Source organism: Homo sapiens, chromosome 11 (assembly GCF_000001405.40).
Source record: "Homo sapiens chromosome 11, GRCh38.p14 Primary Assembly".
Taxonomy (NCBI): Eukaryota; Metazoa; Chordata; class Mammalia; order Primates; family Hominidae; genus Homo; species Homo sapiens.
The window spans coordinates 93,545,611-93,562,276 of NC_000011.10; the positions used below are offsets into that span (position 1 = coordinate 93,545,611).

General features: G+C 42.3%; 1 protein-coding gene and 1 pseudogene across 2 annotated transcripts in view; one reads left to right on the top strand and one right to left on the bottom strand.

The window, feature by feature from the left end:
• The window catches only part of SMCO4 (single-pass membrane protein with coiled-coil domains 4), a 75,508-nt gene extending 67,139 nt beyond the window's left edge, over positions 1-8,369 (bottom strand). For both annotated transcript variants that reach the window (XM_011542909.1, XM_011542907.1), the window contains exon 1: positions 8,255-8,369. In XM_011542909.1, the coding sequence (XP_011541211.1) occupies positions 8,255-8,366 (112 nt within the window). In that variant the 5' untranslated portion in view covers positions 8,367-8,369. The remainder of the gene's footprint in view (positions 1-8,254) is intronic.
• On the top strand, positions 11,303-11,596 carry RN7SL223P (RNA, 7SL, cytoplasmic 223, pseudogene; annotated as a pseudogene).

The following is a 16,666-nucleotide window of genomic DNA, read 5'->3' on the forward strand; positions in this document are numbered from 1 at the left end:
AGAGAGAGAGAGAAAAGAAAAAGAAAGTGTCATCCTTTATAGGTTAGAGTTGTGTATCTTGCAATGCAAGTCTCAGAGGAAAAGTTTACACATTTTACACTAATGGCTTCTAATGAATCACCCCTACTGAGTTGTCCTTCTGTAGCTCCCTCCCACGTTGACCCTGGAGTTGGCCTTGTGACTTCCTTTAGCTACTGGGACATGAACAAATATGACACAAGCAGGGGCTTTCGATGTGCACTTGTGCCTTGCTCCTTGCTTTCTTGAAATGCTATCCTGAGACTGCCATGAAGAAACCTGGTCCAACTCCTTGAAGAGGAAAGACCCTGAGAAGAGAAAGCCTTGCTGTCCCAGCTATGCAGCCCACCAGCTCTCAGCCACATGAGTGAGCTCCAGGGAAAGCCAGCCAAAAATAGTCCAGCCAACCCAGGAATTGTGAGAAATAAAATGGTGGTTGTTTCAAATCACTAAGTGTTAGGGTGGTTTGTTATACAGTAATAGATAACTGACACACAGATCACTCACAGGCACTCCTGCAGTTACAAGTTCTAGATGAAATTCACCCAAGAATCAGTACTCTTGCTAGCGTTTTCTGTTATGAAGCATTCAGTTGAAGTCACTAAATCTAAGCTTAGCAGAGCATCACACTTCATGTAAATACCCTCTTTGAAAGTTCTTCATTGAATTGGTTACTGAGCCTAGTACTGTTTAAAATCCTTTGGCAGTCAACATAACAATGGGCTGGCAAAATCAGCTTGTAAGCTACCAAAAGCTTTAAACGTTAGAACTCCCTGGAACATCAACAGCAGGTATCATAGAGGTTAGGTGTGTTTATCTCTCCCACTTGATTGTAAGCTCCTTAATGACAATTACATTTATTGGCATGGTTTTATCATAGATCACGAAACATCAGAGATGGAGTTAGAGATCATCTAACCCACCACCTCATTTTACAGATGAGAAAACTGGGGCTAAGAGAAATCATCAGAGCCTTACAAATATCCAAGGTCCTGGAGCTGGCTCAGAGCAGAACTGGGATGACCAATTCACAGTTCTTTACGCTGTTAGTTGAACTCTTCTGTTTTTCCTTTGTGACATTTTTGCTATTTAAAATATTCTTCCCATGCTCAAAATATGTCTGTAACTTTCCTATGTGCTGGTGATAAAATCTAAACGATTATACATGGCCCCATGAGGTCTGGTGCAGCTTGCCCCTACAGAGATATTGGTACTGTTCTGCCCCTCACTCAGCACACTTTGCCCAACTGGCTTTCTTTCTGTTCCCCAAACCAGCAAGCTCTTCTCTTCTTCACAGAAAGCCCCTTCCACATGCTGTTCCTTCCACTGACGTGCTCTTTCCCAAACTCTTCACTTTGCTAAATCCCGCTTTCCAGAACCCATTAGAGTTCTGTGGTACATTATTTGGGAAATAATGTAAACAAAAAAATTTGGTGCACATAGAGGTAGCTCTCAGTCTCTTCAGCCAAGTTTTGGAAAGCTCAAAGACCAAACAGCTCAGGAATCTTATGGAGATTTGATTCCTAACAGACACCTTGTTGAGGCTCAACCAGTGGAACAAGCCACTCTGGTTTTTCTGTTTTTGCATCACTCCACTCAAGATTCCAAACCCTAGAAGAACGTCAGCCTTGGTTAGCTTGGCCACATGCCTACCCTCAGCCAGAGAAGAACAGGACACCTTGAATGAAAGCCTCCAAACATAATCATCAGGGCATTGTTACCAAAGAAGGGAAAGTTGATCAAGGATAACAAAACCAGTGAATGTCCACTACATAATCTCTCGGGCCTTGCCTTAAATGTCGTCTTCTCAGAGAAGCTTTTCTTAACCACCCCATCTGTTGCACGCTTTCATGACACTCCTTGTTTTTTTCACTGTTCTCATCATATTTTTATAGTTACATATTCTCATGTGTTTGTGTCTCTCGAATTCTCCCTCCACGAGAAAAGGGACTGCGTTTGCTTGCCCACTACTATACCTTCAATACCTAGCATGGAGCCTGGTGCATACAGGAACTCAATAAATATGTATTAAATCAATCAATAAATGAGCAAACAAATGAATGAATAATATAAGCCTTGTGAGTCTTCTGACTTAATCCATGTGATATTAACTTTGTAGGAAGAAGGAGAAAAGACAAAGAGAATATAATGAGTGTAGGCTGTGGAAGATTCTCTCTGCTGGGTCCCTTTGTGATGCTGTGGGGAGGACAAAGACTCGTGTGCAGGATAAATGAAGAAACACAACCTTGTGCATCAGAGATAAGCCATGTGTTGTGCTATGCTGTACTGTCCTTGAGGGATAAATTATGCAAGTAATGAAGTAAGAGGGGGAGGCCTAGAATGGTGGTCTGCATGTCTCAGAATGTTTGCAGAAGTAGGAACCCTCAAAACTGCTGCCTGACTGCAGCTGCCAGGAGCTGAGGTCAGGAATGTATGTTCATAAACCTACTCCCTTGGCCCCTGTTCATGCCTGGCTGTGCATTCTCTGTAGCAGAAGTTCCAGAGTTATCTGCCGATGGCTGCAAATCCACAGACAGGTTTTTCACAACTCAGAGGTAAAATGAGAGTAATCAGAGCAATGTAAAGCTAAATGTATGCAATTCTTGTATCAATGATTATTATATTTGTAATCATTTGGATGTGGGTTTTTTGTTTTGGTCATTTTTTGGCAAAATAAAAAGTTGACAGCCTCAGTTTCCATTCCCACTCCCAAAATGTTTTTGTAATGGTTTTGGTCTATGAAATCTGAAAGCCTCAGAAATTCTCACTTTATAATCTCAGAGACCTGGACAATCCCTGCAAAGGCTTCAGACCCATCAGAAAATCAACTGTTGTTGTTTTGTTGTTTCTCATGTTTTAATCATGTAGCCTGTTTCCTTTTCTGCCTCATACCTACTTGGCAGTCATTTAACTCCAGTGGTTAAAACATGGGGTTAAGGGGACTTCACTGCCAGAATCACATCTGTGGCTGTGGGTCAGGAGGGAGCTGGGCCTTGGTTCTGTCCTGTCCACAAGGAAGACCTGGACTTGAGGTCTGGTTGTTACCAGTGGAGGGTCCAGGTTCTTGGCATTTCGAACATTTGAACAAAGAACTGGAGAAAACACACAAACAAAGCAAGGAAAGAGTGAAGCAACAAAAGCAGAAATTTATTGAAAATGAAACTCTACAGGGTGGGAACAGCCTCAAGCAGGTGGCTCAAGGGCCCTGGGTACAGAATTTTCTGGGGCTTAAATACCCTCTAGAGGTTTCCCACTGGTTACTTGGTGTATACCCTGCATAAATAAAGAGGCTGAAGTGAAGTTGCAAAGTTATTTATTTGGTGTACACTCTATGCGTATGAAGAGGTTATTTCCTGTCATAGCTGAAGTAGAGTTACAGAGTTATTTACTTGGTCGTAGAAAGTTGGGGTTTTTCCGTTTGATTTGCTTCTAGGAAGTCCTTAGTTTTCCTGCCCTGAGACTCTATTCCCCTGCCTTATGGTCAGTGGCCATGAGTGTGTGTGTACACTCACATGCATGTGTGTGTACTTATGGCAGGGAGAGTCCTTGGGTGTCCCCAACACTCTTCCACCGTAGGGGAGCTACTTAACCCTAAGAGGAGATATTGTTCTTAATCCCTGTTTTACAAAGAAGGAAAATAAGACTTAGAACGTTTAAGCAATTCACCCCAAGCCTGGTTAAATACAAAGTTCAAATACTTAATTAACCTTAACCTCTTTGGTCATAGTTCAGGTGCTTGATTGGTGTTACCTGAAGTTAAATCTGATATGAATTCCCAGAAGCCAACATTATGGAAAGACTTTTCTAGAACTAGGAAAGAGGTAAAAAAAATTTTTTTGAGTCAGGGTCTCACTCTGTTGCCCAGGCTGGAGTGCAGTGGCACAATCACATCTCACTGCAGCTTCAACCTCCTGGGCTCAAACGATCCTCCTGCCTCAGCCTCCCCAGTAGCTTGGACCACAGGCATGCACCACCATGCTTAACTAATTTATTTATTTTTTTTTTTTTTATGTTGAGACAAGGTCTCACTATGTTGCCCAGGCTGTTCTTGAACTCCTGGGCTCAAGTGATCCTTCCACCTCAGCCTCCCGAAGTGCTGTGATTACAGACACAAACCATCATGTTTGGCCAAGAGGTAAAACTTACCCTCCCTAAGTTAAGAGGGAAAACTACCAGCTTCTTGGATTTAAGAAGCCGTAGAGCTTGAAGTCCTGTACATTTATGTAAGTATCAAGTGTTATAATAAAAATGTCTTTTTCTCACTGGTAGTAATTCTTTTAAAGACTTCAAACAAAATTATACCTATTCTTGGAAATTAAGTAAGCATGCCCATTTTCATAAAGCTGTGAAATCCCATATAAGGAAAAGTTTTAAGATCTCTGCTTTCGTTTGAAAAAAGCACCAGAGCGCTACTGAAAAGTTCAACCCAAATCTTCATGCTTACTGCCCTGTTTTCTGAAATTTAAGTCTCTAGCTAAAGAATGGGAAGGAATTCCTACTCTACCCCTGCTGCCGGCAACCAAAGCATGCTCTCAAGCCAAGAACACCAGTGAACCCTTTAAATTTCTCCACAACTTTCTCCCTGCTGGCAAATGTCAAGTTTCTATTTCAAAAGAAATAAGAGCGTCATTAACATGCCTGTCTTCATGCTCTTCTAACTCCTTTCAGAATTTTGGGGGGTTTTGCTTGAGAAAGTAAGACCACACTAAAATCACAACTCCCCAGGGTGTATCATTAAAGGTGGAACTCGGCCAGGCATGGTGCCTCATGCCTGTAATCCCAACAATTTGGGAGACTGAGGTAGGAGGACCGCTTGAGCTCAGGAGTTCGAGATCAGCCTGGGCAACATGGTGAAACCGCATCTCTACAAAAAATTTTAAAAAATTAAAAAATAAAAATAGCCAGGCGTGGTGGCACACCCTGGTAGTCCCAGCTACTTGGGGGGCTGAGGCAGGAGGAGCACTTGAGCTCAGGAATTTGAGGCTACAGTGAGCTGTTATCGCACCATTGCACTCCAGCCTGGGTGACAGTGAGACCCTGAATTTTTTTTATTTTTATTTTTATTTTATTTTTTCAGGGAAAGTATGTGGCAGAGAAGAAAAAACAAAAATGGAACTGTTGGTGTGTTTAGAAGGGAGCAGGGGAGCTCCACTTTTATTCCATAGGCTGTAAATAGCCCACTATCATTTTTAAATCCCAAAGTAAAAAATAACACTTAATTACCTTAACTTTCAAACCTATAACCACAAGATCTTCATTAGTGACTCATATACCAGCTGTACCTTTTGGTCTGGCACATTTTTTAACATCAAAGGTGTTTCCTATCAACTATGTCTTTTTCCCCAAGGGAGCTTCATCTTTATCAGAAAGCAATGAGAACGTTTCTAGTCTATACTTAACTCTTCAATCACTTCACATGTATTTACGGAACACCTAGTACATGCAGGCAATTTATCGAGTTGTGTGAATATAAAAGCAAAAAAGACATATACTCCTTTCCTTCCCTAGAGAAACTCACAGATCAGTGGAGAGAAAAAATGTATATAATTACAAATTTTACAAATGATGTTAAGCGTGCTGAAGAGAAAGAACAAGGTTCTATGAGAAAGTTTTATAAAGAGAACAAGTTTTATATTGAAAGGTCAGAGAAGACCTTTCTGGAAGTGATCTGAAAGTTTGACCAAAGAGATGAACAGGTATTGGCCCAGTGAGGAACCTCCTGGGGACGTGGTCCTCCTCACCCAAGGCTTCTCTATGTCTCGGACAATGATCAGGACAAGAAGTGCAACTTCTCGGTGCATCATTGCTTTCAGAGAGGAGTCTTGGGGCCCTGTCTCCCCAGAGGTGCAGAGGCAAGACAGGGAGTCCCCAGCTTCTTCCACAGGGGCTTCCTTCTCTATCCAACCCACACTCTGCTCTCTGAATTCCTGACTCCCCTCAGCTGCAGCACTTAGGTGAGTATTTTACTCCAGGTGAGTATTTTGCTAGTTCCTGTGCATATGCAGTCTCTGCACCTAAACTGTCAGTGCCTGGAGAGCGGATGGCTCTATCTAACTCTCCTTTTTTAATGCTCATAGTGTCTACAAGAGAACTTGATTCATAGCCACCATTCAACAAACACCTGTTTAATGGGATTGAATTTTCAGCATTTAGTAGTGTACTAAACATCTGATGTGAAATAAGAGCCAAATTAGGCAAAGTAAGCATGATTTAGAAGTGCAGAGATGGAAAGAAAATGGTATGAAGAGCATTGGTGTAGAAGTACTTCCTGAAACTTGAAGGAATCCATCTGGTATCGCTTTGATTGACTTTGTTAAGGACACAATTCCTAGGTTCTGAGACTCCTCAACTCTAAGATGCAACAGTCATTGAACAACAGTTTACTTTTTGAGGGGTGAAAAATGGCTGCTTTCAATGTTTACATATATTGAGAGCCATAGAGCCATATTCTGACTTTGGAAACACTAAAATGTTTCCAAAAAGTATGTTTTATAATTTAAAAAAAAGTCAGTACTCATCACTACTTTTTTTTTTTTTTTTTTTTTTGAGACACAGTTTCACTCTGTCGCTCAGGCTGAAGTGCAGTGGCACAATCTCGGCTCACTGCAATCTCCTCCTCCAGGGTTCAAGCCTTCCAAGTAATTGGGATTACAGGCATGCACCACCACAGCCAGCTAATTTTTGTATTTTTAGTAGAGATGGGGTTTCACCCTGTTGGCCAGGCTGGTTTCAAACTCCCAGCCTCAGGTGATCCACCCACCTCGGCCTCCCAAAGTGCTGGGATTACAGGCGTAGGCCACCGTGCCCAGCCACGTTATTATTATTATTATTATTATTATTATTATTATTATTATTATTTTTGAGACAGAGTCTCGATCTGTTCCCCAGGCTGTAGTACAATGGCGTGATCTCGGCTCACTGCAACCTCTGTCTCCCGGGTTCAAGCGATTCTCCTGCCTCAGCCTCCTGAGTAGCTGGGATTACAGGCACCCGCTAACAAGCCCGGCTAATTTTTGTATTTTTAGTAGAGACAGGGTTTCACCATGTCGTTTAGGCTGGTCCCAAAGTCCTAACCTCAGGTGATCCACCTGCCTCAGCCTCCCAAAGTGCTGGGATTACAGGCGTGAGCCACCGCACCTGGCCCACATTATTACTTTTAACAGGACTTTGTTTTCTCTTTTGCCTACCTCATGTCCACATCAATTTAATTTTTTTTTTGTAATAGTGCCTCAAATTCCTTTTAGGAAATTATTCTTCCTTATTATATACAGCCTGCTGGGTTATTTCATCAAGGTGTGCAACTTTCCCCTAGTGAAGGGATTGAGGGACACCCTACCCAAGCTAGACTATTCAGATGTGTCAACAGTGACCAGAACGTCAAAGGCCTGGCCACAGATGGAGCTTACTCATTCCAGGCATGGGATGTAGACAAGACTGTCCAGAGCTTCTGCTACAAAAAGCCTCTAAAACCACATGGTTCCAAAGTCCATTTCTGTTATTTACAGGCAAAGAATTCTAAATGGGACAGTGCTTTTTGCTGATAGTACATCTAAAACTGAAGTTCTTAATCTGAGGTCCAGAGACTTGGACATGGTTCATGGGTGGGTGTCAGGGTTCAACAGATAAGATATAATTTTTATATCTGCTGATGAGTTTATTTTCCCAGTGAGATGGTCTACAGGCAGCTTTGATCAGATTCTCAAAGGGGTCTATGGCTGAAAATGGATTAGAAACAATTGATCCCAGAGCAGGAGTTCTTAATAAGTCTGTGTATAAACTCAGATGGGCAAAAATTATATCTTTGTTTGTACTAACTTCCATTCATGGTTGCTTATTTATGAATGTTGGTAACAAACCACAGTATTATTAGCAATTCCCATGAATTTGCTACCAGTAGAAATCAGATATTTTCATATCATGTTACAGTGTTGCAGATCTCAAAACATAATTTACACCTTTCACTGCTTTAAAATTACAGTGTTAGTAGACCCAAGCTAGATCTTGTTATTCAATGTGTTAATAAAGAAGCATATATATTACTTGATCACCAGATACTTTAATATTTTAAAGCTGCATCTTAACATAACTGGTTTCCTTGGTAATCTGTATGCTTTAGTTTCTTCAAAACATTATTCTAAGTAGTCCAAGGGCTTCATCAGACTGCCAAGCCTATAATACCAAAAAGTCACTAGCCCTCTTAGGAAAATCTTGGTAGGACCAAGCCTCCTAGCCTTACCTTTATTTGCTCTACAAAGCCAGGTTCTATCTGGTAGTTCCTCTCCTTTCAATAACCTGACATCTTGGTTCCCAGCATTGCAACTTCTGAATACTTCCAAAGCAGCAGGCATTGCCTAAGTCCAGAAAAACACAAACTTATACAAACCATAGGACAAAACAAGAGCAAAAAGAGAGAGAAAGAGAGAGAGATCCAGAATAGGTGGATCCAGAGAGGCAGAAAGCAGATTGGTGGTTGCAAGGGCCTGCAGCGAGGGGGAAACAGGGAGTGACAGCTTAATGGGGGGATTGACCCCATAATGGGTACAGGATTTCCTTTTGGGGTGATGAAAATGTGTTGGAAATTGATAGAGGTGATGATGGAACAGCACTGTGATGGTACTGGATGGTAATGAATTACATATGGCAAAAAAGCTAATTTTATGTTCTACGAATTAGCATTCATTAGCTCAATAAAACAAAAACAAATAAGAAATAAATAAATAAAAGGCAACTCCATAACAAATTCACCTGGGAATTATGTAAAGTCCTACTTAGGGGAATAAAGAAAAAAATAATCCCAAAGTTTAACGGTATTCTATTTCCCTTTTTCCCCCTCAACCCACCCTCCCATCAAGTTGCTTCTGTACGCTGCAATTTGAGATCACTTACGAAATTGCTAATGTGTACTTTAGCCTACATATTAAATTCCGGTTTGCACTTATGCATATTAAAACACACCACTAAATACTCATCTGACAAGCTATATTTTAAACCCCAAACTAGGCTTTATTGTGCCTGGATGCATTTTTAATATACCCACTAAATTTCAGCCAGACTGAAGACTGGCTGGCAATAATGATTTATAAGGGAGGGTAGAGTCCCTCACTTTCTATCCCAGAGTCCGCTCCCACTTGAGGGTCTGGGGGTTGGCAGCCCCCTACTGCCTGCTGGCTCTGTGGAGCTTTTAGGAAAAGATTTCAAGCACGATCTCACGGCCTCAACCAGGATCTGAAAGATGACTGAAGGGCTTCCCATTCTGGTAATAGACCCCACCCAGGACCTCAGCATATCCCATTAGAGCTCGCCAGCCTCCAACACAGCAGGATTGGATTGGCTGTCCACCGGCCCCTCTCATATCCTCCTCCATCGTTCTCTCTCTGCCAGGCTTTTGAAGTTCCTTTTCCTGCTCACGAACCCTGCTGGCACCACATAGCCTACAGGATAGTGTCCAAGTGCCTCAGTCGGGAAAGCAAGAACTGACCTTTTTTTGAAGCCCCACACAATAGAAAGCTTTCATATCAAGCACCCCATTTAACTTCATGAAAACCACGACTAGGCTTATTATGGCCATTTAGGGATGAAGACACTAAGGCAAAAGATCATATAAAGTCACACAACTGGTCAAGCTTTCACCACATTTCTATTTCTCCTTCCTTTCCAACATTTTCTCTACCACTCACTCCTTTGTGTCAGCCAGGCAGGCCCCCTACTCACTGTCCCCTGACTGTCACACCTTGCCCACAGGGCCCCTCCACCTAAGGGCCTCCCCTTTCTGCATTCCAAATCCCACCCATTCCTCAAGGTTTGGCTCAAGTCTCCCCTTCTCCAAAAAGCTTTCTTAGACCCCAGTTCTCTCCCCATCCTCTGAATTTCCACTTATTACGCCACTACTCCTTGAACATATCCAGGTATTGCCTGGTGTGGAGTGTGTGTCTGGCCTCCTCCAGTAAAAACTAAACTCCCTGAGGACAGGAATTGTGTCTTATTCCTTTTGTATTTGCTACAAGTACCCTGTAGGATTGAGAGATCAAAACCGCTTGATTCTCTCAATCAGCAAGAGATTGATTTTTTTCAGGCCAAAGCATTGATCCTTTTTCCCAGTTTCTGTACTTCTCCCCTGTCTCCTGCCACATTCCCTACACAAGTCTCACGGGGCTCCCAGTCATCCTCTCCAGGCCGCCCTGCACAAGAGAGCCCCGCCTTGCACAGGGCTCCTTCCCTGCTGCATCATCTCCCCTAGATGCAGCCTGCTTCCTTTCCAGCTGGAGGATGAAGAAGGTTCTTTTTTCCTTTTACATGTCTAATGACATTGTTTTTTTCAGACAGGGACTTTGGGAAAAGTCATGGCAATGAAGTATGGAGCTTATTCAGAGAATGAGCAGGTTGTGTCCTATCTCCAGGTGTGTGACAGCTGCCAAGAGGGTAGTATGTGGACTGTTTTGGCAGGAGAAGGGGGTTCAGTGGTATTAAGCGCTCACAGGAAAGGACAGGGGCTTTGGGATGGGGGACACAGATGAAAAGCACTGTTGCCTGCATCATGTAATTTGACAGATACTGTAAGACTCCAGAGGTTCCCAACCATGTCCCTTTGAACTTATAATGTTTTCTTCTTTCCTTCTGTGTTCAAAATTCCTCACATTTTAGTTTTTCTCTGTTTTAGATGATGTGGTTAGCTAATATTTTGCAACAAAATTTATGTTTTCTTCTCTTTTTTTCTACCACGTCTTCTCCCACAACTTCCAAAAGTGCCTTATTTTTTCAGGGATGTGGCAGGGAAGAAATCAGGGATTAATCAGTAATATCTCTAGGACTTTGTTTTCCAAAGTCCTCTATCTTTTGAAGACCTAAGAGGGTTCACGAAGGAGGTTAAAGAAAGAGGCAATTCATAGAGTAACTTGAGCATTTGAATCAAGGCATTGGGAATAAGAAAGGATCCTCCCAAGACCATACAGCCAACCCCAGGCCAAGGCAGAAAAGAAAGAGGGTGTATGATTCCAAAGAGGAATAGTTGCAAGCTCAGATGTTCAAATGCCTTCAAAGAATCAGAAGGTATTATGAACAAATAAATGAGTAAAGCTGGTAAAGAGACAAGCGGGAGTGGTAAGGATTAAGTCTACCTGGGGTTTTATGTCCTAAGTATATAATTTTGTTTAAAAAATGTATACTATGCTGGTGAAAAAAACACATCTTGGGCTTCATTCCACCCACTGGCAATCTCTGAATCTAGCTAGTTGTGATAGCCTTGTAAAAGATTTTTGTGCCTCAAGCATGAAATAAAATCTGCAGAGCCAGCCACAGTGCTGTGCACCTGTAGACTAAGCTACTCCAGAGGTGGGGCAGGAGGATTGCTTGAGCCCAGGAGATCTGTGCTGTAGTGCACTATGCCAATGGGATGTCTGCACTAAATGCAACATCAATATGGTGACCTCCCAGGAGCAGAGGACCAGCAGGATGCCTATGGAGGGGTGATCCAGCCCGGGTCAGAAACAGAGCAGGACAAAACTTCCATGCTGATCAGCAGTGGGATCACATCTGTGAATAGCCACTGCCAGTCTGGACAACATAGAAAGACCCTATCTCTAAAAAAATAAATAAATAAATAAATAAATAAATAAATAAATAAATAAATGATACAGAGAGGCAGTAGTTCTAATACAGCCCTGTAGACAGCAGAAAACTGTAAACCAATGACCTGGTAACAAGGGAGACATCTCCCCACATCAGATGCCTGGGGAATGTGAATGACCATGGAACTGTGATCTAAATTCTGGGCTTGGAGGGGGCAGAGAAAGTCCAAGAATGGCTTAGGTTAAGTAGCCCTTCCCCAGCTACAAGCCCAGTGGGATGGGAAAAATTAGGTTAATTTATAAAAATATTTTAAAGGTACAATATTTGTGTATAAAGTTGAAATTCCTATAACTACAAACATTGAAGGATATGTTTGGGTTAATTCAATTCTCCATACATCTACTCTGCACTGCCTATATATCTCTGCTGTGTGTATATGTGTCTCTTACATAGATATTGAATTGAGTTGTACTGTAATGGATCTGTCCCATTTGAGTCTTGGAATAAAATAAAGCCACATCCTTGTGTTCAGAAGATGGAGTCACATTTAGAGTAATGGACACTTCTGGTGTTGGTGGTCCTGAGAAACAGTGGAACTTGGAAGAAGTGAGGGATTAGAAGACAGGACTTAGACCGGGGTAAGGAAAGAATGTCTTCCTTTCTCTGATATGGCTCTCTTGAGCTCAAGCTCCCACAAGTTTAGCAAGGCTTGAATGTCCTACCTGGTAGGGGGGATGAAAAATGACTCTTGCCATTTGAAGCTGGATAGGGAGGCAGATCTGGAGGGGCTCCCCAAGGATGGGCAGGTGCAGGTGATTAGAACAACCATTTATTCACCCAAGAGTTTCATGAATCATTCTATGCTATTAGCACAAAGCTTTAACTTAAGCACAGCTGTTCTGAAAGATACTAAAAGAAGAGAATTGGCCCATCCTTAGGGTAGAAAGGTAAGGACTTTTATGCCACCTAAGGTCATGACAGCAGTGGAAGCAGCAATCGAAGACATTCCCTAGAAGAAAGTGACGTTGGAGGAACAAGTGTTAGGCCTTTACAGGGATCCTTTCACAATTGCCCACCTTGAGGGATCACAGAGTGTTATTTTATTAAGCCAGTTGGTGAGTTCCTTGGTCAGACACAGCTGAATTCTGAGGGATGACTAAGACAGAGCCTCTGCCCTCTAGAAAAAGTGGACACATTTTTATGGTGGGGGAGCTTAAGTATGATATGTCTTAAAAAAAATTTAGAGTGTTTCTCTAAAGAAACACTGGATGAATAGAATATTAGGGACAAAGGTGTAGCTGGGAGTGTGTTCCAAGTGGAGTAGACAGCAGGAACCACGGCATAGACATGGGGAGCCCCTTTTGATCAGGAGAGATGGAGCTACACCCTCTGGCTGTATCATAGAGACATGAAAAGAGTGAAGCCTGGAGAAACAGCTGACATCACAACAGGCAAAGCCTCAGTTGCAAGGGAAGACATTTGCTCTTAATCCGAAGACAAAAAAAAAAAAGACTATGCACTTTGAGACTTCTTAGTTACAAACAACCATTCCAGGGAGTTTAAATAGAAAATAAATTAATTAAAAGACATTACAGACGTGTACTTGTACAAAGAATAAATTCTGCAGACCCAATGTACAGCACAGTGACTATAGTTAATAATAATGTACTGTGTACTTGCAATTTGCTAAGAGAGTAGATCTTAAGTAATCTGATCACCAAAAAAAGGTAATTATGTGATGTGAGAGATGGGTTAACTAACCTGATTGCAGTAATCATGTCACAATGTATACATATATCAAAACATCATGTTGTATATCTAGAATATATACTATTGTTATTTGTCAATTATACCTCAACAAAGCTGAAAAATTGGGGGTAATTTGAGTAAAAATATTGAGATACTGGGTAATTTACAGGAACTCTGGGAGGGCAAAGAACAAAACTTGAAAACCAAGCAGTTAATCCACCCTCTGTGCTAATTCCATGGAGGCCCACATTTACTACCACCAGGCACTAGACGCAAGACCTCATCTCTACTTCCAGAAAATGGATCCCACTCCATGTGGCTTCCTGGTGGTGCTCTCCTCTGAACCTAAGTCTACCGAGAGCAGTCTATGGGCAGAACAAGGGTCCTGGGCCTGTGCTCCAGCTGCAAGGGATGCTGGGTAAGAGTTTCTAGCATCTGCCTTGGGAAGGCAGGACTCCTAATTGCACATTTCCCTAAATGTAAAAAGGCTTTCAGAAGATGCTGAGCAGCAGTAAAGCATAGAAAATGTCACTACAATTGCCAGTAAAGTTTTTCGAGAAGGAGAGTAAACATAATCTAAGCACATGTTAGGAAGATTAATTAGAGGTTGGATGGGTAATGCCCACATGTTTTCTGGGAAGACTGACCCAACTGGAGAAGGGCAAGGAAGTCCTGAATGAGTAGCCTTCATTCTACTTCTGCAGAGGACTAATTGTCACTCTGTGGACAGTTTGACAGGTCCAGGGAGTCAGAATGGCAGGACAGATAAGTCAGGAGTAGGGTAGGATAGTAAGAAAGCATCTACAGGAGGAAAAGACTGAAGGTGAGTGGGGAAGTGGACATGAACGTGTTGACAAAGGTCAGCCTGACCAGCTCCCTGAGTTGGGGCAAGCCCAGGTGAGGCCCAGCACCAGGCCATGGAAATCCAGCCACTACAATGCCAAGTGAAAGGTGAGAGTTTAGAGTTTAGACTGGTATTGGCAGAGCCACATGAGAGATGAAGGAAGAGCAGCCAGGAGCTGCGAGTGGGCAGGAAGTGGGGATGAGTGGCGTCCACTGCAGGTTCTCCCTGCAGGACAGAGCTCCAAGCCAGAAGGGAAAGGAAGCAGAGGAGTGCTCTGAAAAAGCAGCAGCCCTGCAGCCGAGGGACCGAGGGGCTGAACGGTTTCTCCACTGAGAGATCCAGTTCTCAGGTAGGAACTGAGAATCAGAAACAAGGGAGAGGCACATCCTGTTTTACGAGAAAAATCAAGGTCTTCAAAGATAACTGTAATAGGTTTCCATTTGTCTGTTTTTATTGTGGTAAAATATGTGTAACATAAAACTTACCGTTTTAACCAATATAAAGTGTACAATTCAGTGGCATTAAGTACACTCACAGTGCTATGCAGCTATCACCACTATCCAGGTCCAGAACATTTTCACCACCGCAAATGCAAACTCCACCCTCATCAAGCAGTTGCTCTCCATTCCCCACTCCCCACCAGTCCCTGGCAACCACTCATCTGCTCACTGTTTCTATGGATTTGCCTATCCTGGATATTTTATATAAATAGAATCATGTAATATGTGACCTTTTGTGTCTGGTGTCTTTCTCATGGCATGTTTCTGAGGTTTATCCATGTGATAGCATATAATGGTCAATTTTATGTGCCAATTTGACTGGGCCATAGAGTGCCAGGTATTTGGTTAAACGTTATTCTGGGTGTGTCTGTGAGGGTGTCTCTGGATGAAATTAACATCTGAATTGATGGCCTGAGAAAGGAGGTTGCCCTTCCCAGAGTGGGTGGGCCCCATGCAATCAATTAAAGGCTTGAATAGAACAAAAAGGCTGTGTAAGAAAGGATTTGTTCTCTCTCTATATGAATGTCTTCCAGTGAGACATTGGTCTTCTGCCTTTGGACTTGGACTCAGAATAGACCTTACACCATTGACTCTCCTGGTTCTCAGGCCTTTGGATTAGGACTGAAACTATACCATAGACTTTCCTGGTTCTCCAGCTTGTCAACCAAAGATCTTGGGACTTCTCAGCCTCCATAATTGCATGAGTCAATTCTTTTTTTTTTTTTTTTTCTTGAGACAGGATCTGGCTCTGTTGCCCAGGCTGGAGTGCAGTGGCACAATCTTGGCTCACTGCAACCTCTGCCTTCCGGGTTCAAGCGATTCTCCTGCCTCAGCCTTCTGAGTAGCTGGGATTACAGGTGCCCGCCACCATGCCTGGCTAATTTTTGTATTTTTTTTTGTAGAGACGAGGTTTCACCATATTGGCCAGGCTGGTGTCAAACTCCTGACCTCAAGTGATCCACCCACCTCGGCCTCCCAAAGTGCTGGGATTACAGGGATGAGCCACCACGCCCAGCCTCCAGTTCTTTATGATAAATCTCTCTGTGTGTGTGTGTGTGTGTGTGTGTGTGTGTGTGTGTGTGTGTGTATACATATATACATACACTCATACATATATCCTATTGGTTCTTTTTTTTTGAGAATCCTCACTAATACATAGCATGTATCATTACTTTATTTCTTTAATGGCTGCATAATATTCCATTGTATGGATATATCACATTTTGTTTATCCATTCATCAGCTGATCAGCATTTGGGTTGTTTTCATCATGCGCCAAGGTTTTAAAATCCTGGTTCCCCATTTACATTGCAGGGTGGCTTGGTCAAATCACTTACCCTCTCTGGGCATCTGTTTCATCACATGTTAAATTATTAGGAGGGTTAAATGAAATGAAGTATGTAAAAGCCTGACATAGAGAGGACAATTGGCAAGCAATCAAAAATTGATTCCCTTAACTGGAGTTGGAACTCAGATCAGAGTGGGCCCAGCAGCAGCAATAACTTGCAATAGATCAGGGCCCCTTAAATTCCTCCCAAATCAGAACTGGACCCACAGCCAGGGCAGGGTAGATACCTGCAGGTAGAGGACAAAGAAGTCTTAATTCTGAGGCAAGAAACTGGACCCTCCCTTGCCTTCTTGCCTCTTCCTAGTGTGCATGCTTGGGGAATTAGGGGTTCTAAATCAGGACCCTAAAACATGGCTATGCCTCTGTTTCACAAAGTCTTAGGCAATAAATATTGTGTGGAAATATCTCATGTTTAAACTGTTAGAAATATTACACATTTTACAGATATTTGAAAGATAAGCATATACTTCTATCATATCTTATCTTAAAAATGAGTACCCTTCAGGTTTATTTACAACTTTTGTTCAGATGATTCCATAGCATGCACTTACATTATATAAAACCTGTGAAAAAATAACACCTATCATTCCCTAAATCACAGTAATTTCAGAAGTTTACACTTGCATTCATTTTTCTTTTAATG